Source organism: Homo sapiens, chromosome 15, assembly GCF_000001405.40.
Source record: "Homo sapiens chromosome 15, GRCh38.p14 Primary Assembly".
NCBI lineage: Eukaryota > Metazoa > Chordata > Mammalia > Primates > Hominidae > Homo > Homo sapiens.
In genome coordinates, this window is record NC_000015.10 from 28,065,966 (window position 1) to 28,092,856 (window position 26,891).

At 43.5% G+C, this 26,891-nt stretch overlaps 1 protein-coding gene across 30 annotated transcripts in view; it reads right to left on the reverse strand.

Moving 5' to 3' along the window:
• The window catches only part of OCA2 (OCA2 melanosomal transmembrane protein), a 380,308-nt gene that overhangs the window by 346,958 nt on the left and 6,459 nt on the right, over positions 1-26,891 (reverse strand). For 14 of the 30 annotated variants that reach the window (XM_047432619.1, XM_047432618.1, XM_047432609.1 and 11 more), the window contains exon 2: positions 15,683-15,930. In XM_047432619.1, coding sequence (XP_047288575.1) covers positions 15,683-15,909 — 227 coding nt within the window. In that variant the 5' untranslated portion in view covers positions 15,910-15,930. Of the gene's footprint in view, positions 1-14,104; positions 14,938-15,682; positions 15,931-16,961; positions 19,266-26,891 lie in introns of those variants that run through there. The other 16 variants (XM_047432607.1, XM_017022260.2, XM_047432615.1 and 13 more) reach the window with 11 other exon arrangements.

Below are 26,891 nucleotides of genomic sequence, written 5' to 3' on the forward strand. Positions count from 1 at the left end.
AAACTGTCTTTATTCACAGACATGATTATTTACTTAGAAAATCCCCCACAAAAAAATCTACAAACAAAAAAGTTGCTATACTTAATAAGTTACTTTAGCAAGTTTGCAGAACACAAGATCAATGTACAAAAATCAATTCTGTTTTATGTACCAACACTGAACAAATGTAAATTGATGTTTTACAACAACACCAAAAAATGAGTCACTTGGAGATAAATCTTACAAAATATGTCCAACACCTATCACTGAAAACTATAAAATTTTGCTTAGAGAAATTAAATAATACCCAAACAAATGGAAAGATAAGCCATGTTCCTAGAGCAGAAGATTCAATATTTGAAACCAAAAATAAAATTCTAAGCCCCTCACTGACTAATGGGAATCCTCCCCTTGGCCAAGGGAGTTTCAAAGAAACCTAAACGATCAGTTCAAGCCATGATGGGAGAGGGGGGTGGGAGGCGTTAGATATGCCTCATTATACTCTCCTCCCGTTGGAATTCAGGCACAGCTGATTAGCATTAACATTTAAAACAGAGACATTAAAACTGATGAAGCAGACTCTTTGTAGCAATAAGATACCAAATTCCAACCTCACCCTAATATAGCATCACATGACAGACAGCAGACCCTAAAAGAAAAGTATTTTGCCCCAAAATATATTTCTTTGACACATTTTTAATGGCCCTACAAAGCTGTCTCTTGTGGGGGCAATCTAAATTCTGTAGAGAATCCCCTTCCCTTTCTGATCCTGAAGAGATTAGCTGAGAGTCTAGCACCTTTTAAAGGTCTAAACAGGAGACATTTGCCATCTATTGCATCTAAAGGTGGCCACCTATGAGATTTCATCTACTTAAAAAGAACTTTGGTCGCCACAACCTTATCCTAATCCGGACATTCCTTTCTATTGATTCCATGGCTTTAGATAATAACTTAATTCTTTCAACCAATTGCCAATCAAAAAATCTTTTAATCTACCTACAACCTGTAAACCCCCATTTCAAGTTGTCCCACCTTTCTGGATCAAACCAATGTGTACCTTACATGTATTGATTGATGTCTGCCTGTAACTTTTGTCTCCGTAAAATGTATAAAATCAAGCTGTAACCTCGGACCTCCTGGGGTTGTGCCCACAGGTCATGGTCCTCACATTTAGCTCAGAATAAATCTCTTCAAATATTTTACAGTGTTTGACTTTTCTCATCAATAATATTATTAAGGTGTCAACTCCATAAATTCATCTTATAGACTCAATGCCATTCCAATAAAAATCCTACCAGGATCTTCTCTTTCTCTTTCTTTGTTAATCTAGCTAGGAGTCTATCAATCTTAGTTATTTTTTTGAAGGACAAACTTGGTTTCATTGATCTTTCGTATGGATTTTTGCATCTCGATTTTATTAAGTTCTTCTCTAATTATTTCTTTGGATTGGTTTGTTCCTTTCTCTCTAGTTCCTTTAGGTGTAAAGTTAGATTGTTAATTTGGGACCTTTCTAACTTCTTGATGAAGGCATTTAGGGCTACAATCTTTCTTCCTAATGCTGTATCTCAGAGATTTTTGAAGATTATGTCCTTATTTTCATTAATTTTAAATAATCATTTTTTATTTCTACCTTAATTTTTATGTTCACTCAGGACTTATTCAGGAGTAAGTTGTTTAATTTCCATGTATTTTTGTAGTTTTCCAAGATCTTATTGGTATTTATTTCTATTTTCATTGCACTATGGTCTCAGAATGTGCTTGGTATTATTTCGATTTCTTTTGAATTTATTGAAACTTGCTTTATGACTGAGAATGTGGTCAATCTTAGAATATGTTCCATATGCAGATGGGAAGAATGTATGTTCTGTGGTTGTTGGAGTGTTCTGCAGATGTCTATTAGGTCCAATTGGTCAAGTGTTGAGTTTAAGTCCAGAGTTTTTTGGTTAGTTTTTTGACTTGGTGATCTATCTAACACTGTCAATAGGGTGTTGAAATCTCCCACTATTATTGTGTGGTACTGTAAGTCTTTTTACAGCTCAAGAAGTTGTTTTATGAATCTGGGTGCTACACGGTTGGGTGCACAAATATTTAGGATAGTTAAGGTTTCTGGTTGGATTGTATCCTTACTATGTTATGCCCTTCATTGTCCTTCTTAATTTTTATTGGTTTAAAGACTGTTTTATCTGATGTAGGAATAGAGTCTCCTGCTCTTTTTTAATTTCCATTTGCATGGTAGATTTTACTCCACCCTTTTATTTTGAGCCTGTGGGTGTCATTACATGTGAGAAAGAGAAGATCCAAATAAGCACAATCAGAAATGACGAAGATGACATTACAACTGATCCCACAGGATTATAAAAGATCTTCAGAGATGAGTATGAATAACTCTATGTACACAAATTATAAAATCTAGAGGAAATGGATAAATTCCTGGAAGCACACAATCTCCCAAGACTGAATTAGGAAGAGATTGAAAACCTGAATAAACCAGTATCAACATCTGAAAGAACCTATCAACCAAAAAAAGCCCTGGGCCAGATGGATTCATAGCCAAATTCTACCAGAAGTACAAAGAAGAACTGATATCAATACTACTCAAACTATTCCAAAAAATCAAGAAGGAGGGGCTCTGCCCCAACTCACTCTATTAAGCCAGCATCAGCCTGATACCAAAATCTGGCAGAGACACAGTGAAAAGAGAAAACTTCAGAACAATATCCCTCATGAACATAGATGCAGAAGTCCTCGACAAAATACTAGCAAATAAAATCAAGTAGCACATCGGAAAGTTAATATGCCACAATCAAGTAGGCTTTATTCCTGTGATGCAAGACTGTTTCAATGTACACAAATCAATAAATGTGTTTCACCACATAAACAGAATCAAAAGCAAAACTGTATGATCATCTCAATAGATGCAGAAAAAGCTTTAGATAAAATCCAACAGCCCCTCATGATAAAAATCCTCAACAGACTAGGCACTGAAGGAATGTACCTCATAATACTGAGAGCCATCTATGACAAACCTACAGCCAGCATCATACTGAATGGGCAAAAGCTCAAACCATTCCCCTTGAGAGCTGGAACAAGACAAGGATGCACATTTTCACCACTCCTATTCAACAGAGTATTAGAAATTCTAGCCAAAGCAGTCAGGCAAGAGGAAGAAGTAATAGCCATCCAAACAAGAAAAGAGGAAGTCAAGCTATCTCTCTTCACGGACAATATGATTCTATACTTAGAAAATCCTAAAGACTCCTAGAATTGATAAATGACTTTAGTAAAATTTCAAGATACAAAATCAAATGTACAAAAATCAACAGCATTTCTATACAACAATAAAGTCCAAATGGGAGTGAAATGAAGAACACAATCCCACTTACACTAGCCACAAAGAAAATGAAACACCTGCCCTCTCCCTCTCCCTCTCCCTCTCCCTCCCCCTCCCCCTCCCCCTCCCCTTCCCCCTCCCCCTCCCCCTCCCCCTCCCCCTCTCCCCGGTCTCCCTCTCATGCGGGGCCGAAGCTGGACTGTACTGCTGCCATCTCGGCTCACTGCAACCTCCCTGCCTGATTCTCCTGCCTCAGTCTGCCGAATGCCTGCGATTGCAGGCACGCGCCGCCACGCCTGACTGGTTTTGGTGGAGACGGGGTTTCGCTGTGTTGGCCGGGCCGGTCTCCAGCCCCTAACCGCGAGTGATCTGCCAACCTCGGCCTCCCGAGGTGCCGGGATTGCAGACGGAGTCTCGTTCACTCAGTGCTCAATGGTGCCCAGGCTGGAGTGCAGTGGCGTGATCTCAGCTCACTACAACCTACACCTCCCAGCCGCCTGCCTTGGCCTCCCAAAGTGCCGAGATTGCAGCCTCTGCCCGGCCGCCACCCCGTCTGGGAAGTGAGGAGTGTCTCTGCCTGGCCGCCCATCGTCTGGGATGTGAGGAGCCCCTCTGCCTGGCTGCCCAGTCTGGAAAGTAAGGAGCATCTCCGCCCGGCCGCCATCCCATCTAGGAAGTGAGGAGCGCCTCTTCCCAGCCGCCATCACATCTAGGAAGTGAGGAGCGTCTCTGCCCGGCCACCCATCGTCTGAGATGTGGGGAGCGCCTCTGCCCCGCCGCCCCATCTGGGATGTGAGGAGCACCTCTGCCCGGCCGAGACCCCGTCTGGGAGGTGAGGAGCGTCTCTGCCCGGCCGCCCCGTCTGAGAAGTGAGGAGACCCTCTGCCTGGCAACCACCCCGTCTGAGAAGTGAGGAGCCCCTCCGCCCAGCAGCTGCCCCGTCTGAGAAGTGAGGAGCCTCTCCGCCCGGCAGCCACCCCATCTGGGAAGTGAGGAGCGTCTCCGCCCGGCAGCCACCCCGTCCGGGAGGGAGGTGGGGGGGGGTCAGCCCCCCGCCCGGCCAGCCGCCCCGTCCGGGAGGTGAGGGGCACCTCTGCCCGGCCGCCCCTACTGGGAAGTGAGGAGCCCCTCAGCCCGGCCAGCCACCCCGTCCGGGAGGGAGATGGGGGGGTCAGCCCCCCCACCCGGCCAGCCGCCCAGTCCGGGAGGGAGGTGGGGGGGTCAGCCCCCCGCCTGGCCAGCCGCCCCGTCCGGGAGGGAGGTGGGGGGGTCAGCCCTCCGCCCGGCCAGCCGCCCCGTCTGGGAGGTGAGGGGCGCCTCTGCCCGGCCGCCCCTACTGGGAAGTGAGGAGCCCCTCTGCCCGGCCACCACCCCGTCTGGGAGGTGTGCCCAACAGCTCATTGAGAACGGGCCAGGATGACAATGGCGGCTTTGTGGAATAGAAAGGCGGGAAAGGTGGGGAAGAGATTGAGAAATCGGATGGTTGCCGTGTCTGTGTAGAAAGAAGTAGACATGGGAGACTTTTCATTTTGTTCTGCACTAAGAAAAATTCCTCTGCCTTGGGATCCTGTTGATCTGTGACCTTACCCCCAACCCTGTGCTCTCTGAAACATGTGCTGTGTCCACTCAGGGTTAAATGGATTAAGGGCGGTACAAGATGTGCTTTGTTAAACAGATGCTTGAAGGCAGCATGCTCGTTAAGAGTCATCACCAATCCCTAATCTCAAGTAATCAGGGACACAAACACTGCGGAAGGCCGCAGGGTCCTCTGCCTAGGAAAACCAGAGACCTTTGTTCACTTGTTTATCTGCTGACCTTCCCTCCACTATTGTCCCATGACCCTGCCAAATCCCCCTCTGTGAGAAACACCCAAGAATTATCAATAAAAAAATAAATTAAAAAAAAAAAAAGAAAAACACCTAGGAATACAGCTAACCAAGGAGTTGAAAGATTTCTATAAGCACTACAAAACATTGCTGAAAGAAATCAGAGGTGACGCAAATAAATAGAAAAACATTTCATGCTCATGGACTGGAATAATCAATATCATAAAAATGTCCATACTGCCCAAAGCAATGTACAGATTCAATGCTATTCCTATCAAACTACCAACGTTCTTTACAGATTCAGAAAAAACACTATTCTAAAATCCATATGGAACCAAAAAAAGAGACCAAATTGCCAAGGCAATCTTAAAGCAAAAAGAACACAGCTGAAGGCATCACGTTACCCAACTTCAAACTACACAATAGAGCCACAGAAACCAAACAGCTTGGTATGGGCACAAAAACAGACACACAGACCACTGGAACAGAATAGAAAACTCATAAATAAAACCTGACACCTACATCTATCTGATCTTTGACATGGCCAATATAAACAAACAATGAGGAGAGGACTCCCTATTCAATAAATGGTGCTGGGATAACTGGCTAGCCATATGCAGAAGATTGAAGCTGGACCCCTACCTTTCACCATTTGTAAAAAGTAACGCAAAATAGATTAAAGATTTAAATATAAGACCTCAAACTATAGAAATCCTGGAAGACAACTTAGGAAATACTCTTCTTGACATCAGCCTTGGCAAATAATTTTTGACTAAGTCCCCAAGAGCAATTGCAACAAAAATTGACAAGTGGGACCTAATTAAACTCAAGAGCTTCTGCACAGCAAAATGAACTATCAACAGGGTAAACAGACAACCTACAGAATGAGAGAAGATACTTACAAACTATGCATCTGACAAAGGCCTAATATCCGGAATCTATTAGGAACTTAAACAAATCAACAAGCAAAAAACAAGTAACCCCGGCCGGGCACAGTGGCTCACGCCTGTAATCCCAGCACTTTGGGAGGCCGAAGCGGGTGGATCACCAGGTCAGGAGGTGGAGACCATCCTGGCTAACATGGTGAAACCCCGTCTCTACTAAAAATACAAAAAAATTAGCTGGGCTGGGTCTTCTGAGGCAGGGCAGAGTGTTGAATCTGGGCTGCCATCTCCACCACACTGACTATTAGAATATAGTGGAGCAGGCCGGGTGCGGTGGCTCACGCCTGTAATCCCAGCACTTTGGGGGGCCGAGGCGGGAGGATCACACAGTCAGGAGATCAAGACCATCCTGGCTAACACGGTGAAACCCCATCTCTACTAAAAATATAAAAAAATTAGCTGGGCGTGGTGGCGGGTGCCTGTAGTCCCAGCTACTCGGAAGGCTGAGGCAGGAGAATGGCGTGAACCTGGAAGGCAGAGCTTGCAGTGAGCTGAGATCGCATCACTGCACTCCAGCCTGGGCGACAGAGCAAGATTCCGTCTCAAAAAAAAAAAAAAAAAAAACAAGTAACCCCATTAAAAAATGGCAAAGGACGTGAACAGATACTTCTCAAAAGAAGACATACAAGTGGTGAACAAACATATGAAAAAGCGCTCAGCATCACTAATCACCAGAGAGATGCAAATTAAAACCACAATGAGATACCATCTCACACCAGTCAGAATGGCTATTATTTTAAAAATCAAAAAACAACAGATGCTGGTGAGGCTACAGAGAAAAGGGAATCCTTATGCACTGCCGGTGGGAATGCAAATTAGCCCAGCTACTGTGGAAAGCAGTCTGGAGATTTCTTAAAGAACTTAAAACAGAGCTACCATTAAACCAAGCAATCCCATTATTGGGTAGATATGCAAAAGAAAAATCATTCTACCAAAAATTCATGCACTCATATGTTCATCACTGCACTATTCATAATAACAAAAACATGGAACCAACCCAGGTGTCCATCAATGCTAGACTGGATAAAGAAAATGTGGTTCATATACATCATGGAATACTATGCAGCCATAAAAAAGAGTAAAATCCGCAGGGCACGGTGGCTCACACCTGTAATCCCAGCACTTTGGGAGGCGGAGGTGGGCGGATCACCTGAGGTCAGGAGTTTGAGACCAGCCTGGCCAACACGGTGAAACCCCGTCTCTATTAAAAATACAAAAATTAGCTGGGCGTGGTGGCGAGCAACTATAATCCCAGCTGCTTGGGAGGCTGAGGCGAGGTAATCGCTTGAACCCGGGAGGTGGAGGTTGCAGTGAGCAAAGATTGCACCACTGCACTCCAACCTGGGCAACAAGAGCGAAACTCCATCTCAAAAAGAAAGAATGAAATCATCTCCTTTGCAGTAACATAGATGGAGCTGGAAGCTATAACCCTAAACAAATTAATGCAGGAACAGAAAACCAAATACCTCATGTTCTCACTTATAAATGGGAGTTATGCATTGAGCACACATGGACATGAGTGTAGGAACAATAGACACTGTGGAATACTAGAGGATGAAGGAAGGGGGAGTGGGTTAAAAAAATAAAAAACTACTTATCAGGTACTAGACTCATGACCTAGGTGACGGGATCCATACTCCAAACCTCAACATCACATAATATTCTCATGTAACAAATCTGCACATGGGTACCCCCATATCTAAAATAAACGTTGAATTTTAAATTTTTACACACACTGTATGATTTCATGTATATAACATTATCAAAATGGCAAAATTCTAGAGATGAAAAACAGATCAGTGATTTCCAGGGGTTAAAGATGGCAGGGGGAGGGGTATGTAACTTAAGGGTTGTGTGAGGGATTTCTGTACGGAATCTGAGATTACGATGGAATAGGTCTATATCTTGATTATAGTAGAGGTTACATAAAGCTACCCAAGTGATAAAATGACAGACAGACACACACACACACACACACACACACAGTACAAAAAAAAATCCCAGCAGGAATGTTACATAAATCAACAAAATGATGATAGAATTTATATGGGAAGGCAAGTGGCATCGAATAGCCAAAGCAATCTTGAGAAAGAACCACGTTAGAGGGCTCACACCATTTGATTTCAGAACTCTTCATAAAGATTCAAGATAGTGTGATATTCATGACATGATAATCACATAGACTGATGGAACAGAATAGAGATTTCAGGGGGCCAGGCACGGTAGCTCACGCCTGTAATCCCAGCACTTTGGGAGGCCGAGGTGGGTGGATCACTTGAGGACAGGAGTTTGAAACCAGCTGGCCAACATAGTGAAACCCCGTCTCTACTAAAAATACAAAAAAAATGGCCGGGCGCGGTGGCTCACGCCTGTAATCCCAGCACTTTGGGAGGCCGAGGCGGGCGGATCACGAGGTCAGGAGATCGAGACCATCCTGGCGAACATGGTGAAACCCCGTCTCTACTAAAAATACAAAAAATTAGCCAGGCGTGGTGGCGGACGCCTGCAGTCCCATCTAATCGGGAGGCTGAGGCAGGAGAATGGCGTGAACCCGGGAAGCGGAGCTTGCAGTGAGCCGAGATCACGCCACTGCACTCCAGCCTGGGCAACAGAGCGAGACTCCGTCTCAAAAAAAAAAAAAAAAAAAAAAAATTAGCTGGGTGCAGTGGTGGGCACCTATAATCCCAGCTACTTGGGAGGCTGAGGCAGGAGAATCGCTTGAACCCAGAAGGCAGAGGTTGCAGTAAGCCGAGATAACACCACGGCACTCCAGCTGGGCACAGAGCGAGACTCCGTCTCAAAAAAGAATAGAGAGTTCAGAAATAAATCAACAGATAAATGGACAATGTATTTTTGACAAAGATACAAGGCAATTTAATGGACAAAGGAGTCTTTTCAACAAACGGTCCTGGAACAATTGGACATCTATAAGCAAAATATAAATAAACCCAGCAGCATATGCAAAAATTCACTCAAAATGGATTATATGCCTAAATGTAAAACCTAAAACTACAACACTTCTAAAAGAACAAACAGAAGAAAATCTTTGTGATCTTGGGTTAAGCAAAGATTTCTTAGATACAACACCAAAAGTATACTCCATAAAAGAATAATTGATAAATTGGACAACATCAAAATTAAAAATTTCTGCTCTCCAAAAGAAATGAAAAAATAATAATGCAAAGACAAGCACAAACTGTCAGAAGATAATTGGGAAAAATGCATTTTATAAAAAAAAGTTGTGTTGAGAATATATAATGAATCACAAACCCCATAATAGGAAAACAAGCAGACCTCACTCTCCAAATATATAAAACCATAATAAGGTGCCTCTAAATACTTATTAAAATGGCTAAAATTAAAAGTACAGTCAATATTAAGTGCTGACAATGACGCAGAGGACTGGAGCTCTCATGTATTGCTGGTGAAAATGCAAAATGGTACAGCTTCCTTGGAAAGCAATTTGGCCTTTGCTTAGACAGTTAAACATATATTTATCAAATAACTCAGCAATCTCATTCTTAGGCATTTATCCAAGGGAAATTAAAATTTACATTCACATAAAAACCTGTATGCCAATGCTTATACTGGTTTTATTCATAATTACCAAAACTTGGGAACAATCCAAGTGCCCTTCAAGAGGAGAATGAATAAACAAAGTGTGATATGTCCACACAACTCCACTCAGCAATAAAAAGAAACACAACTTGGATGAAGCTCAAATGCATTATACAAAGTAAAAGAACCAAACTCAATGGTTCCATTTATTTGACATGCTTGAAACAGGCCAAAATGTAAAAACAGAAAACAGATTGATGGTTAACAAGTGCTGACGGGAAAAGGAAGCAGCCAAAGGAGTTTTTGTGGGGTGATAGAAATATTCCAGATCTTGATTTGCTGACAATTACACAATTGTATGCATTTGTCAAAACTCATAGATCTACTCACCATTTCTGGTGAAATTATACCTCAATTAAAAATACATAAAATAATAGCTTTGAGCAATCTGCAACAGCACTGATAGTGTTTACAACATATTGTTACATTTAAGAAACTACAAAGCAAGAGATACACTCTGAGCACAATTATGTAAAAACTTGTATTACATATAGGAAAGACCAGAAGGGAACACAGATAAATGCAAGCAGACAGTAATGATTGTGTTAGAGGCACGATGTTGTGTTCTCCCTTCGACCTCCAAATTTTCAGCAATATATTTATTTTCACTTGATAATGAAATACAGTAACCAATCCATGACAGATGTAAACGCTGCCTTAAATAATTTATCTTCATTATTTTTAACATATTCTCTCTAATTTGCTTCCCTGTCCAATCTGCCATCAAATATATTCCTGCTAAGTGGAAGACCAAAAGGTAATTAGCTAATTTTGAAAGGGCAAATTTCAAGGTCAATTAATTCCTGATTTGTGAAAACAATTAGAAAAAATTAATTACATTTTCCACTGATTAGAAATAAACCTTCCCACACAATCTTGCCTTTAAAAAAAATAGATAATTTGGCCGGGCGCGGTGGCTCACACCTGTAATCCCAGCACTTTGGGAGGCCGAGGCGGGTGGATCATGAGGTCAGGAGATCGAGACCATCCTGGCTAACAAGGTGAAACCCCGTCTCTACTAAAAATACAAAAAATTAGCCGGGCGCGGTGGCGGGCGCCTGTAGTCCCAGCTACTCGGGAGGCTGAGGCAGGAGAATGGCGTGAACCCGGGAAGCGGAGCTTGCAGTGAGCCGAGATTGCGCCACTGCAGTCCGCAGTCCGGCCTGGGCGACAGAGCGAGACTCCGTCTCAAAAAAAAAAAAAAAAAAAAAATAGATAATTTAAGTCTGTCAATCTGACAACCAATTGTATTTAAGTACATCTGTCATTCTTACATACTATTTTGAGATACAAAAAAAATTGATTCAAAATTTTCTGAGATTTAATTAGGCAAAGCAAATGGGAAAGAGAGAGTGGAGAGAGTGGGGAAGTCTGTGTGTCACTCTGTGCTTAATTTGTTTTTTTTTTTTTTTTGAGACAGAGTTTCACACTTGTTGCCCAGGCTGCGGTGCAATGGTGAGATCTCAGCTTACTGCAACCTCAGCCTTCCAGGTACAAGCAATTCTCCTGCCTGAGCCTCCAGAGTAGCTGGGATTATAGGCATGTGCCACCAGGCCCGGATAATTTTGTATTTTTAGTAGAGACGGGGTTTCTCCATGTTGGTCAGGCTGGTCTCGAACTCCTGACCTCAGGTGATCCACCTGCCTCAGCCTCCCAAAGTGCTGGGATTACAGGCATGAGCCACCGCACCCAGCCCTGTGCTTAGTTTTTTTATGAATAAAATTAGCATATTAGATTAAAAAATTCATCTTTAATTTGGCAATTTTGTTTGTTCCATGTCATTACGATTGTATGGACAAGACGTATTCCTCTAACAAAAGGGTGGAAGTCCTCAGCTAGGACAGGGGAAACAGCCCTGAGGAATGTCCAGCAGCGTTCCAGGGCTGGACATACAGAGCAGGCGCAGGGTCCCAAAGACAAGGGTTGAGGTGCCCAGAGAATGAAGTCTGCTTTCTCCATATGTCTTTGTGGTTGGTTCCCTCTGTTATAGGACTACTATTAAAGGAGGGTAAAACTGCGACTCACGTCCCAATATAAAATGAATGCAGGTCAATATTTTGTTTAACTCATCAATTAGAAGAAACTGATAAGACGCAAAAAACCACACAAACATGGGCAATTAGAAATGCTGAATTGGGCCAGAAGCGGTGGCTCATGCCTATAATCCCAGCACTTTCGGAGACCGAGGCAGGTGGATCACGAGGTCAGGAGATCGAGACCATCCTGGCCAACATGGTGAAACCCCGTCTCTACTAAATATACAACAATTAGCCGGATGTGGTGGCGAGTGCCTGTAGTCCCAGCTACTCGGGAGGCTGAGAAGGAGAATCGCCTGAACCTGGGAGGCAGAGGTTGCAGTGAGCCGAGATTGCACCACTGCACTCCAGCCTGGGTGACAACGTTGAATTGAACTTACAAATAAATGCAAAACTGGACAATGCATTCCACGGACACAATCCAACTTTACTTCTAGGGAAAAGAGTTATTTGCATTATTGTCAGCTTTCTGATCAGTTGCAAACAGTGAAAGATGCAGATAACCTGGAAGGACTCCAGACTTCCCTTCACTTCCTATAAAAGACACCAATCATCTTTGTGTTCCATTTCCAACTTTTTCACAACAATTTCCTTCATCACTATTCATCTCTGGGGTTGGTGATGCCTGAGTGGCTCCCAGGAATTGGCCTGCTGCTACTCACAGCCTCCAGCAATCCCATCCCTGAGAGTGGGCTGGACCTAGTAGTGACTGGCTTCTAACCAACAGAATACAGAAGAAGGGATGGTGTCACTCCATGATTAGGTCACAAAAGACTATCCCTTGTGCCTGCCCAGATGGAGTGGGCCCCTGGCAATGAGCTGAGATGGCCTCCAGTCAACAGCTGGCAAGGAACTGAGGCCATCCATCCAACAGCCCAGGAAGAACCACACCCGGCCAACAACCACACAGATGAGCTCAGAAGCAGACCTTGCTCCAGCTGAACACTGAGATGCTATGGTTAGAGCCATACATGACAACTTGTCCCAGCCTGTGAAGACCCTGAGCAGAGGACCTAGGTCAGCTGTGCCCAGATTTCTGACCCATGAAACTGAGAAAATAAATATGTACTCTTTTAAGCTGCTAAGTTTGGGAGAAATTTGTTACCTGGCAATAGATCCTGAATTCACTCTTCCTTCCAGCTTTCTTTATATGTATATCCTGCCTTGTTTCACACAGATTTTAATCATTTTAAGAAAATACCGAGTAACCAGTTTGTGCACAGGTGATGTAACTGACCCAAGAAATTGCACCTGAGCTGCCTGGGAGCCAAAGGAAAAAGGGGACACGGCAGGCTACAGCCTCTGCCTGCTTCTCTCCTGCAGAAACAACAGAAAACGAGGCTACAAGGGGATGATTCCCTGAGAGCTAAAACATAGGCCAGTACAGTCCCCCAAATTACCTTTTCAACGCAGTCTGAAGCAATCTATTTGCAGCATCTCATAGTGTTCTTTCGTTCTGCTCATTCTCTTCACAACTGAACCCATAATAGATGAGTTTGACTTCATTGAGGCTAAGGGGTTTGCTGGTTTCCACATACCTGAGACTCCCACCTATGGTAGATTCAAAGACTTACGTATCTTTTCTCTGATAAGATTACTGTTTTTTTTTTTTTCATTTTCTGCCTATTTTCATGAAACAAGAAGGGCAAAATGTAATAAAACTCTTCAGTAACCTTTAGCCTGAGATGACAGTGCTGGGATACTGTGTACATGGCCACCAGGCGACATGGCCACACACCTGCCCAGGAGTGTGCTGTTTCAGGGGGCTCACCTAGGGCCATGTGGGCAACAGCCTGTGCCCTCCACACTCAGACATTCACACCAGTGAGCCCTTCCCCCGAGAGCCCGCACTGTGGGTGGGTTGGGCCAACACACCATTCTCCTCATGGTGCTGAGAGCTGCCCCTTGAGGCTGCGGTTCCCTGTTGCTCCTCCTCCTGGGAGAAGCTCCGCATGGGAGGTGTGGCTCACTCATGAGGGCTCATGCCTGTGGACAAGGGTGGCACCTTCTGGCATCTCCACACTCAGCCTAGGTAGTTGCCAGTGCCATCCCGACACCCCCTCCCCGTGCCCTGCGCAGGCTGTGGGGTCAGGGCACCCTCACCCTCCCTTCACTGGACCACCACACCTGCCAGCTCCTGCCCCCATGTGCCTGCACCTGTCAGCACCTCCCCACGCTCTCCTTCCTCCTCCACCTGGAATCCTGCCTGGCTGCCCAGGGCCTCCTGCCTGTGGAGCTCATGACAGGCCCCAGTCTGCCCCTGGTACACCATACATCGAAGCAAGAAGTGAGGTCAAAGAACTTGGAACATATGCAACATATGCTCTTCTGGTTTTCCCAATTCTTGTCTCACTGGAAGCTGAACATTACCTTCCATCACTCACATCCTGGCTGGGACAATCCTGCTGCCTCATCTGCCTCCCCATGCACAGGCCACACAGTCCTTCCGGCCATATTAGACACTTCCCAACAAAACACTCTTTAAAGAAAAGGAAAAGGCAAGCTCCTCGCTGGGAGAAGATCCTGCAACATGGGACCAGAGAAAGTTAATACTCAGAATATTCCATATGAATCTGGGGGGAACAGACACATTCAGTGTATAACAGAGAACATTTGCTGCAGGCTGTTTTTAATAGCACATACTGGGGGATGAGGAGCAGAAACTGAAAAGCCGCCAACAGGAGAACATGTATTAATGGTAGCATATTCACATAATGAAATTCTATGCAAGGAGTTCACACGAATGAACGAGAGCTACAGGCATCAGCACAAAGAAACCTCAAAACACATTGCCAAAGAGAGCAACTCAAAGTTTCACCACTTGCAAAAGGACAGCATAGACTGTAAGTCAATAGAAACATTCAGTGAAAGCATGAGCACGCAAGCTGGGGAGCTCCCCCTGGAGCGGGCAGGATGACAGCAGCAGCATGCACCACACCCGCATGCAATTCTGTGGTGCTTTGTTAAAGGCTGGAGAGACCATCAGTACTGCAGGGGTCGGAGCTCTGGCTGTGGGAACGAGGATCCTCAGATCTGCCATGTAATCGATATGGCCCAACAAAGACAGTCAGAGACACCTACTCATAGGATGCTGCTTTTCTCATTACAAGGACATCTATGTGAACTGCAAATTATGGGTTTGCAGTATAAGCATTGACATGTAAAAACCATTCATTGTCTTTACATAAGTAAATATTTAAAGATGTATCAAATTTTTTCTTAAGGAATGAAATCATGTCTTTTGCAGCAACATGGATGTAGCTGGAGGCCATTATCCAAGCGAATTAACCCAGGAACAGGAAACCAAATACCACATATTCTCACGACAAGTGGGCGCTAACCCCCGGGTGCACATGGACATAAAGAAGGCAGCAGGGAACACTCGGACCACACAGGGGCGGGAGGAGGGATGGTGGAAAAGTAACTATTGGGTACCATGCTGACTACCCGGGTGATCAGTCGTACCCCAAACCTCAGCATCACACAATATACCCAGGTAACAAACCTGCACATTTAACCCCTGAATCTAAAATAAAAGTTGAAATTATTTTTAAATTTCCTTTTATGTAAATTCTGACTTTTCTGACATGAAAAACAATACTCAGTTAATTCACTTGCTATATGTATAGAAATAAGGCATGCCCTCAGAGACATACGCTTTCCAAAATTGCAGAATAATTGCAATACTTTAAATAATATATTAAGTGTTAAGTCTTCATGCTACAAACTCTTTTTTCTATTTTTATTATCTTTTGGAGCTAAATTAAGTTCATCATATTTTACAAATATCAGTCATCAAAAACTAAGCCAGGAAAGTGATCTAATGCTGGAAAAATTCTTGCAAAATTTCTGGAAATTTTTCCCACAACAAACGTGGGGGAACGATGCTCATGGAAACCCAATCTGTGTGAAGTCCACATTTACAAGATGGCACTATTTTAAACTCACCTCCCTTTTGTGAGGAATGAAGCAAACTCCTGGCCTGCAGGAGCCCAAGAGCTCTGCCCGGCAGCCCCCCTGGGGCAGGAGTGCGAGGGGTCAGCTCCACCGGCTCCCCGAGGAAGCCTGCGCTTGCCGGCCACAAGTTCAGCGAGTCCGCTGGGCACGGACGTCTGCAGGAGCTCCACCGCCGGCGCGCCGGGGTACCGCCTGCCGTCTCTGCCCTCCAGATGCATGCTCCACTGCCAGTCTTCTCTCTAGGGCAGCCAGAAAGAAACCACTCTTCATGAAAGGCACACTGAGACTAACGTTTGCACCTTGGGAGTCCGTACAATAGGAAGGTTGCTTCTTCGGAGGCGGTCCCAGAGTTCCAGCATCCTAACCACGCAAGAGCATTTCACCCTAGTGAGAAGTGAAGCCAGCTGGACTTCCTGGGTGGAGTGGGAACTTGCAGAACATTTCTGTCTAGCTAAAGGATTGTAAATGCACCAATCAGCACTCTGTGTCTAGCTAGAGGATTGTAAATGCACCAATCAGCAATCTATAAAATGGACCAATCAGCACTCTGTACAGTGGACCAATCAGCACTCTGTAAAATGGACCAATCAGCAGGACGTGGGCGGGGACAAATAAGGGAATAAAAGGCTGGCTACCCCAACACGCTGGACTCCCCTACTAATCTGTGGATACTTTCGATGTTTTGGTTTTCACAGTAAATCTTGCTGCTGCTCACTCTTTGGGTTTGTGCCACCTTTAAGAGCTGTAACACTCACCGGGAAGGTCTGCAGCATCATTCTTGAAGTCAGTGAGAGCAAGAACCCACCAGAAGGAACCAACTCCGGACACCCTAGCAGTGGCCTAAGTGTTCAGCAACAGAGAGCTAGTTAAGTAGATTGTGATGTGTGCACAGCATGAAATTCTGTGCTACATTTAAAATGATCTAAGAGATGGTTCTTGTTATTGGGAAATGCTATGGATGTGTAAAGAATAAGGACAAGTGGTACACTGTGATGTTTTTATTGAAATAAATATGTATAAATTACATACATACAACAGAGGCCCAAAAGACACACCCTCCAAAACATGGCTACCTCTGGATGGCGAAAGTGCCCACGGGGGTCCTTTTTCTTTGGTTTTGTTTGATCTATGATTTTCACATTTTTTGCATTTAGCAAATTAATACTATTCTGGTGAGAATATAATAATACCTACAATAAAAGTAAGAACTATTCCTATACCTCTAAAGTAATGCTGTCCTACTTTGGGGCTTATATTTCAAACCACTCACCATTTTATTTTTTGCATTTTCAAGCAGCCGACAGCACCAGAAATGACCTTTGGCCTTGCAGCCACTTGGTTTGCTGTCCAGGGTTGCTGGGAAGCCAGGACTGACTGTGCACTTTGGCCATGCAGGATGTCTGGCGCTGAGATGCAGAGGCACGTGCTGGGGCTGGAGTTAGCACAGTAGTGTATCACCACTCCTAATCGCCTGTTTCACATACAGTCTTCACAATGCCCCATGAGCACAGAATTCCAGTGGACCCAGGATGAAAGGAGTTTGCTGTGACTCAAAGCAAGTACAAGACGTGTGATGGCTACAGCTGAGTAAGCCAAGCACTGACAGCCCCAGACGCACACTTCCTGGTGGAGCCAGAACTTACTTCAAATATAGAAAAACATGACATTCGAAGAAACCTGAACGACCAAGGAAGTCCATATATCCTTCTCACCATTGTTATTTCCCTGCTTTAACCAACCACTTATGCTGAGAGTGATCACTCACAAACCAGTGAGCCGAAGGCAGGCCATGTCGGCAGAATGTTCTTGTATCATAAAAGTGAGATAAAACAGTTGCATTGGTTTTAGACAGTGGCTCCACTACCTGGTAAGAACAAAGTACAAATGTACATACCAGCTATAAAAAAGTTGTCTGATTTCACAAATTCCACGCATGAGCTAAATGTTTCAATATTTGCATTTGAAACTGATGTGGCATGATATAAAGATGACTAGTAAAAGTAATGCTAACAATTTAAAATTTAAATTTTTTTATTTAGAATAATGACATTAAATACCAATTTAAAAGCACCATGACAAGCCAAGAGAGAGAGACTATGGAAGAAAGGAGAAAACTTTATCCTTACCATTAATGGCATTTTCCCTGGTTTTTGAACAAAGGGCCTCACAAATTATGTAACTGGTCCTGCTGAGACTTTAGAGGGGGTCCTCCTGCTCTCCATTGACAATTCCAGGGCGCCATTGCCCCTCCTAAAACACCCAGCTTCTTTAGAAGAACATGCCATTGGAATTGCCACAGACTGAATGTGTATGTGCCCTCCAACAAACTCAGAGGCTGAAACCCTGCCCTGTAATGGGATGGTATTCAGAGGTGGGGTCTCAGGGAGGTGACTGGGATTTGGAGAGGCCCTGAGGGTAGAGCTCTCATGAATCAGCTCCAGACCCTTCTGAGAGTCGTGGGAGAGCTCAGCTCCTCTCTCCACCATGTGTGGACACGGCGAGAAGATGCTGTCTGTGAACCAGGAGGTGGGCCTCCCCAGACACGGAATCTGTTGGTGCTGTGATCTGAGACTTCACAGCCTCCCAAACTGTGAGAAATTATGTTTGTGGCATAAGTCATCAGTTTATGATGTTTTGTTACAGCAGCATGAATGGACTCACACAGGAACATACCACCCACCCTTAGTGCAACAAATGTCCATTCTCTTTCAGGCCATGTCCCTTCTCCAAGACCTCACTCCCCTCTTTCCCAGTGGAGCCTCTCTGGTCCAGCAAACACCCTCCTCTTACTTGCCCCAACTCATTCTCTCAAACTTACCTGATAAACGAGTTTTTTATTGCTGCAAAACAAATCACCACAAAGTGTACCTGTTAAAAAGCACACACGTGTATAATCTCAGAGTTTCTGTGGGTCAAGGCCAGGGTGGCTCAACTGGGTTGTCTGCTTGGGATCTCAAGGGGCCACTGGGCTGTGATCTCATCTGGAAGCTCAACTGGGGAAAAATCTGCTGCCAAGGTCACTCAGTGCAGACAGGATCCATGTCCTCGTGGCTGCATGACTCAGGGCTGCAGCTTCTTGCTGGCTGTGGGCCAGCAAGAAGTTTATGGTGTTTTGTTACAGGAGGCCCCCTCAGAGGCCCCCTTCACCCCAACAGGCTCCTGCATCCTCACCATGTGGGCTCCTCCAGTATGTTGGCTTGCCTTTTCAGGCAACAAGGAGCATCTGGAGAGCGAGCAGCAGTGAGGCAGAGTTTTATAGGCTATTACGTGTCAGGGGGACATCCACCACTTTGCTGTATTCTGTCAGCTGGAGGTCAGTCCTGGGTCCTGCCTGCCTACACTCAAAGGGAGGGGACTAAACCAGGGTGTGAACACCAGGAGGTGGGGACCATGGGCCCCTAGAGTCTGCCACCTGTGGCCAAATCCCAACCCTGCTCAGCAGCTGAACATGGCTGTAGAAAACCTTCCTTGCTGCCTATGCCTGCAGATGACATCATATTAGGAACCCCAGGTGGGCCCCAGTACTGCCCAGCAATCCCACCGCACCTCCCCAGACAGTGTACGCGCCTGCTCTCCTTCACTCCCCACTTAAACCCCACACACCCTTCCCCCTTTCACTCCCAGCTGCTGCCTCTGCCTCTTGCTCCCTTCACTGCCTGAATCAGCCGGGGTCCAAGAAGGAAATAGAAGCTACTCTGAGAACTTCTAGAAGGAGCTGGAGCCCCAGAAGAGATGCCCCAAAGAAGAGTGGGGCATCCTCCCTCCCCTAATCTTCTAGAAGAGTCTCCTATTGGCTGAACTCAAGCCAGAGCCCAAGCTGGAGTCAGACACTGGGATTCAGAACACAGTAGGGCAAGAGTGAGGAATGTCTCCAAGAGCAAAACGTCCCAGAATGGCTGTGCTGGCAAAACTAGAAGCAATGAGAATAAAAGCCCAGCCTCTCAAGGACACACTTGTCTACAGCCCTGCCAGGTACAGTGGAGCCCACCTGCTCCCACCCCCGCCCAGACTGCACTGTTGCATTCCTCCCCATCCCAAACCTCACAAGCTGGCATGCAAACATACTGTCCTATCTGCCAACACTAAAAATATACAGCTCAGGACTGGTGCCTTCAGGAAGACAGAGAAGACCTACTTTTCCCTGTTCTTCCTGCTAAGTACAACTAAAAACCTGATGTTTAGAACAAAAAGCCCCAAAGAAGCCTGCCCCCAGCCAAAGGACCAGGAAATGAGTAGCCTAGCAAGACAGAAAGCTTTTAGACAATATCTGTTCTACTGCAGCCTAATACTGCAGACCCACATCCACTCAGGAGAGCAAAGGCTGAGTGGGCACCCTCCAAAGGCTATTACACAGTGCCTGGCCCCCAGTCCTCACAGGGATGCTTCGCAAAAGGCTGAGTAGGGAGTTTGGACATTCACCGTTGCTGAGTGCTAGGGAGTTCCACCTCCTCCCTACACACTCCTCCCCCAATGGCTTAAGTGGGGACCACCATGTGAGGAGGCTGGACTTCATCCCTGCCCTGCAGAAAAGGGACCCCTCTCCTTCCTTGCTGACAGGGTGTCAGAGGAGGCCAAATGGAGAGTCAGGGCATTCACTTCTGCTCAGCAGTAATGAGGCCACTCCCCAGTGGTGTCACTAGAGGTCAGTAATGAGCAGTAATGAGGTGTCCCACCCCACTCAGCCAGGGTGATATCAGCAGAGTCCTAGCGAGAGGCAGAGGTCCCACAACCACCCAGCAATAAGGTGGAATCCTTCCCCATCTTGGGGAACCTGAACTTCTAACCCTATCTGGCAGCAATGAGACAGTGTCAGGCCCTTCTGCTGGCGTGGTGTCAAAGGAAGGCACCTAAACAGAAGGTTTAAGTGGTGATTAGAGTCTTATAAAGCAATACTCAAAATATGCAGGTTTCACTCAAAACCACCTGTCATAGTGATAACCAGGAAAATCTCAACTTGAAAGAAAATAGATGATGACACCAAGATGATGGAGATGTTAGAATTATCTGAAAAAATATTTTTAAATCAGCCAAAATAAAAATGTTTCAAAGAGAAATAAACACATTTGAAACAAATGAAACACAGAAAGTCTCAGCAAATAAGACTCAAATGAAACTGAAAACACAATAGCAAAATTCAAAATGCAAAAATGAACTCAACAGTAAAATGGAGGGGACAGAGAAAAGAATCAATAAGTGGAAGATAGAACAATAGAAATTACTCAACCTGAACAATAGAGAAATATAGTCTAAAACAATTTATCAGAACCTCAGAGACCTATGGGACCATAACAAAAGACCTAACTTTCATATAATCCAAATGCCAGAAGAAGATGATGAAGAGTATGTAGCTTAAAAAGTATTTGACGATCTCATGGCTGAAAACTTCCTAAATGTGGCAAAAGACATAAACCTACAGATTTGAGAAGCTGAGCAAACCCCAAACAAGATAATCCCAAAGAAATCCACACCAACATATATAGTGGGCAAAATTTTAAAAATTAAAAGCAAAGAAAAAGTCTTAAAGAGAGAAATTAAAATGTCCCTACAGGGAAAAAACAATTCAGATGACAGAAACCATGGTGGCCAGAAGAAAATGACATAACATTTTCCAAGTAATGAGAGGAAGGAACAGTCAAGCCAGAAGCCTATATCCAGTGAAAGAAAAATCAAGATGTTTTCAAAGAAAACTAAAAATTTATTGCCAGCAGACCTACCCTGAAAGAATGGCTACAGGAAGTTCTCTAAATAGAAAGGGAAAATGAAAGAATACATTTTAGAACATCAGGAAGGTAAAAGAATATAGGTAAGGAGAGGCATGGTGGTTCACGCCTATAATCCTGGCACTCTGGGAAGCCAAGGCAGGCAGATTCATTGAGCCCAGGAGTTTGAGACCAGCCTGGGCAACATGGCAAAATCCCATCTCTATTAAAAACACAAAAACTTAGCCAGGCATGGTGGTGCATGCCTATAGTCCCAGCTACTCAGGAGGCTGAGGTAGGAGAATCACCTGAGCCAGGAAAGTCGAGGCTTCAGTGAGTCAGGATTGTGCCACTGCACTCAAGCCTGGGTGACAGAGTGAGACCCTATCTCAAAAAATAATAATAAAATAAAAAGTAAGTCCAGGCTGGGCACGGTGGCTCACAACCTGTAATCCCAGCACTTTGGGAGGCCGAGGTGGGTGGATCACCTGAGGTCAGGAGTTTGCCACCAGCCTAGCCAACATAGTGAAACCCCATCTCTATTGAAAATACAAAAAATAGCCAGGCGTGGTGGCAGACACCTGTAATCCTAGCTACTTGGGAGGCTGAGGCAGGATAATCATTTGAACCCAGAAGGCAGAGGTTGCAGTGAGCTGAGACTGCACCATTGCACTCCAGCCTGGGCAGCGAAAGCGAACCTGCATCTCAAAGGAAAAAAAAAAAGGTAAGTCCAAGCAAGATTCTTAACAGATGCATCATGTGCTGTTTTCATTCAGAGAATGCAAGTGCTTAATGGAAATAATTCTGTCATCTACTGTTGATAGCATGCTATTGAATAACATTTATACGTAGGTAAATATGTTTTCCCTCTCCTCTTGATTTTCCTAAATTCTGTTGAATGTTTGAAGCAAAAATTTTAACACTCCTTGATGTGTTTATTAATGTATGCAGAGGGAATCATCAAGACAATTCTATAACAAATGAGAGAGGTAAAGGATGTAAAAGGAGGTACGTTTTCTTGATTTTACTCAAACTGATAAAATGATGGCATCAGTAGACTGTGACAAGTAACATGTATATATACTTTAATACCTAGAACAATGACTTTAAAAGAGATACACCAAGAAACATTATGGATAAATTATCGGGGGAAATTCACCCCCGATATTTCATGTAGGTTCTTTTCTATTTTCCCTAAGTGTCGGCTGGTCTGAGAAATAAAGGGAAATAGTACAAAAGAGAGAAATTTTAAAGCTGGGCATCCAGGGGAGACATCACATGTCGGTAGGTTCCGTGATGCCCCCTGAGCCGTAAAACCAGCAAGTTTTTATTAGTGATTTTCAAAAGGGGAGGGAGTACATGAATAGGGTGTGGGTCACAGAGATCACATGCTTCACAAGGTAATAAAATATCACAAGGGAAATGGAGGCAGGGCGAGATCACAGGACCAGGGCAAAATTAAAATTGCTAATGAAGTTTCAGGCACATGTTGTCTTTGATGACATCTTAATCAGGAGACAGGGTTTGAGAGCAGACAATCGGTCTGACCAAAATTTATTAGGTGGGAATTTCCTCATCCTAATAAGCCTGGGAGCACTACGGGAGACCAGGGCTTATTTCATCCCTCATCGACAACCGTAAAAGACAGACGTCCCCAAAGTGGCCATTCCAGAGGCCTCCCCTTAGGGACACATTCTCTTTCTCAGGGATGTTCCTTGCTGAGAAAAAGAATTCAGCGATATTTCTCCTATTTGCTTTTGAAAGAAGAGAAATATGGCTCTGTTCCTCCCGGCCCACAGGCCACCAGACTTTAAGGTTATCTCCTTTGCTCCCTGAACATTGCTGTTATCCTGTTCTTTTTTCAAGGTGCCCAGATTTCATATTGTTTAAACAATTTGGGCAGTTAACGCAATCATCACAGGGTCCTGAGGTGACATTCATCCTCAGCTTACAAAGATGATGAGATTAAGAGATTAAAGACAGGCATAGGAAATCACAAGGGTATTGACTGGGGAAGTGATAAGTGTCCATGAAATCTTCACAATTTATGTAAAGAGATTGCAGTAAAGACAGGTGTAAGAAATTATAAAAGTATTAATTTGGGGAACTAATAAATGTCCATGAAATCTTCACAATTTATGTTCTTCTACCATGGCTTCAGCTGGTCCCTCCATTCGGGGTCCCTGACTTCCCGCAACAACAAATCAAAATGGAATTCTAAAAAAAATGTTCAATTTACCCATAGCCCTAACATATCAGAAAAAAATGCATTACATGTAAATGGTCTGAATACATCAACTAAAAGACGGATTGGCAGAGTGAATTTAAAAATATGACTCAACTATGCAAGGTCTATAAGAAATTTACTTCTAAAATAACAGTATATGGGTTCACATGGACATAAAGATGGGAACAACAGACACTGGGGACTACTGGAGCAGGGAAAGAGGGTGGAGGTCAAGGCTTGAAAAACTACTTATTGAGGACTGTGCTCACTACCTGGGTGACAGGTTCAGTGGTACACCAAACCTCAGTGTCACACAACATGCCTTTGTAACAACCTGCACATGTAGCCCCAAATCTAAAATAAAAGTTGAAAAATAAAATTAAATAACAATATAGGTAGGGTGCAAGTAAAAGGATGGAAAAAGATATATCATTCAAGCATCAATCCAAAGAAAGTAGGAGCGGTTATATTCACGTAATATATGCTAAACTTCAAGGCAAAGAAAATTACCAGGCACAGAGAGAGACATCTTGTAGTGATAAAAAGGTCACTTTACCAAGAAGACATAGAAATCCTAAACACATATGCACAAAACAACAGAGCTGCAAAATATCTAACACAAAAACTAATAGAACTAAAAGGAGAAAGACACATTTATAGTATAGTTTTATAGTTAGAGACTTAAACATTTATCTCTCAGCAATTAATAGAACTAGACAGAAAATCAGTGCAGTTATAGAAGAACTGAACAACACCATCAACCAATAGAATATAATCAATATTTATGGAACACTCCATCCAACAACAGCAGAATATTCTTACAAAGTGCCTACAGAACATACACCAAGATAGACTACACTTTGGACCATAAACCAAACCTCAACAAATTTAAAAGAATTGAAATCACACAGAGTATTCTGTAGCCACAATGCAATCGAATCAGAAATAAGTAACAAAAAGAGAGGAGGAAAATCTGCACACTTAGAAATTAAACATACTTCCAAATAATCCAGGATTCAAAAAGAAAGTCTCAAGGGAAATCAGAATTATATTGAACTGAATGAAAGTGAAAATATAACATATCAAAATTGACAGAACACAGCTAAATCAGTGATGGGAGGAAATTTACAGCATAAATGCTGGTATCAAAAGGAGAGCAAGTCTCAAAAATAATATAAGCTCTCATCTCAAGAACCTAGAAAAAGAAGAGGAAAATAAACCCAAAGCAAGCAGAAATGAGAAATAATGAAGCTGAGATTAAAAATCAGTGAAATAGAAAACAAATCAACAAAAACAGTAGAAAAAAATCAATGAAACCAAGAGCTACTTCTTTGAAAATATCAATGGAATTAACAATCCTCTAGCAAGACTGGCAAAGAAAAAAAACAGAATGACAGTTATTAATGTCAGGAGTGAAACAGGAAATACCATTACAGACCCTGAAGACATCAAAGAATAATAGTGGTATATCAGATTGCCATTTTACAACTTTACATACATAACTTGGAAAACTTAGTGATTCCTCAAAAAGCACAAATTACTATAACTCACCCAATATAAAATGGGTAATGTCAATAGCTCTGTAATTTCTATTAAGTAAATTAAATTTGAATTTTTACAGAAGAAATCTCTAGGGTCAGATGGTTTCACTAGAGAATTCTACCAAACATTTAACACCAATTCTATACAATCTCTTCCAGAAAATAGAAAATGAGGTATACCTCATCAGTGAGTTTTATGAAGACAATATTACCCTGATACCAAAATCAGATACAGTACAAAGAAAAAATACTACAGGCCAATATCTCTTATGAATATGGTGCAAAAATCTTTAACAAAATATTAGCAAAGGGAATTCAGTAATATATCAAAAGAGCTACACACATAACTAAGTAGGGTTTGTTCCAGGAATGCAAGGCTGGTTCAATGTTCAAAAATCAATCAATGTTGAACATGGAGCTACCATATGACCTAGCAATTCCACTTGTAGGAATATGCCCATGAGAAATGAAAACATATGTCCACACAAAAATGTGTACAATAACATTAATAGGATCATTAGTCATAATACCCTAAAAGTGGAAAGCACCCGGCCCTGCACGGTGGCTCACATCTGTAATCCCAGCACTTTGGGAGGCTGAGGCAGGAGGATCACTTGAGGTCAGGAGTTTGAGACCAGCCTGGCCAACACGGCGAAACCTCGTCTCTACTAAAAATACAGAAATTAGCCAGGCATGGTGATGGGCACCTGTAACCCCAGCTACTTGGGAGGCTGAAGCAGGAGAATCATTTAAATCCAGGAGGCGGAGGTTGGAGTGAGCTGAGATCGTGCCACTGCATTCCAGTCTGGGTGACAGAGCAAGACTCCATCTCAAAAAAACAAAAGTACAAACAACCCAAATGTCCATTACTAAATAAATAAAATGTGGTATATACACACAGTGGATTATTTGACAATAAAAATGAATGGTGTCTGACACATGCTAAAACATGAATAACCTTTGGAAACATGCTCAGTGAAAGAAGCTAGTCACAAAAGGCCACATATTGCCTGACTCCATGTATATATAAAATCTTCAGAACAGGTAAATCCATAGGGAAATAAAATAAAATAAATTAGTTGCTGCTTATGGCTAGGGGAGGGGATAGGGTTGGAGGGAAATGAAGAACAAATGCTAATGAATGTGGAGTTTCACTTGGGTTAATAAAAATGCTCTAAAATTGATCATGGTGATGGTCACACAACTCAGTGAATATACTGAAAAAAAACATTAAATTGTACATTTTTTTTGAAACAGGGTCTCTCTCTGTAAACCAGGCTGGAGTGCAGTGGTGCAATCACGCCTCACTGCAGTCTTGTCCTCCCAGGCTCAGTGATCCTCCCACCTCAGCCCCCAAGTAGCTGGGACCACAGGCACACACCACCACACTCAGCTAATTTTTTATTTTTAGTAGAGATGGGGTCTTACTATGGTGCCCAGTCTGGTCTCAAACTCCTGGGATCAAGTGATCCTCTCACCTTAGCCTCCCAAAGTCCTGGGATTACAGGTATGAATTTGTACACTTTAAATGGGTGAATTATATGGTATTTAATTATAATCTCAATAGAACTGTGAAAAATATCAAGCAATGTAATCTACCATATTAAAAGCTAAAGAAGAAAAATCACATGGTGATATCAATTGATGCAGAAAAAGCATTTAACAAAATCCAACACCTATGCATGATAAAACAAAAACTCTAAGAAAACTAGGAATAGAGAGGAACTTCCTCA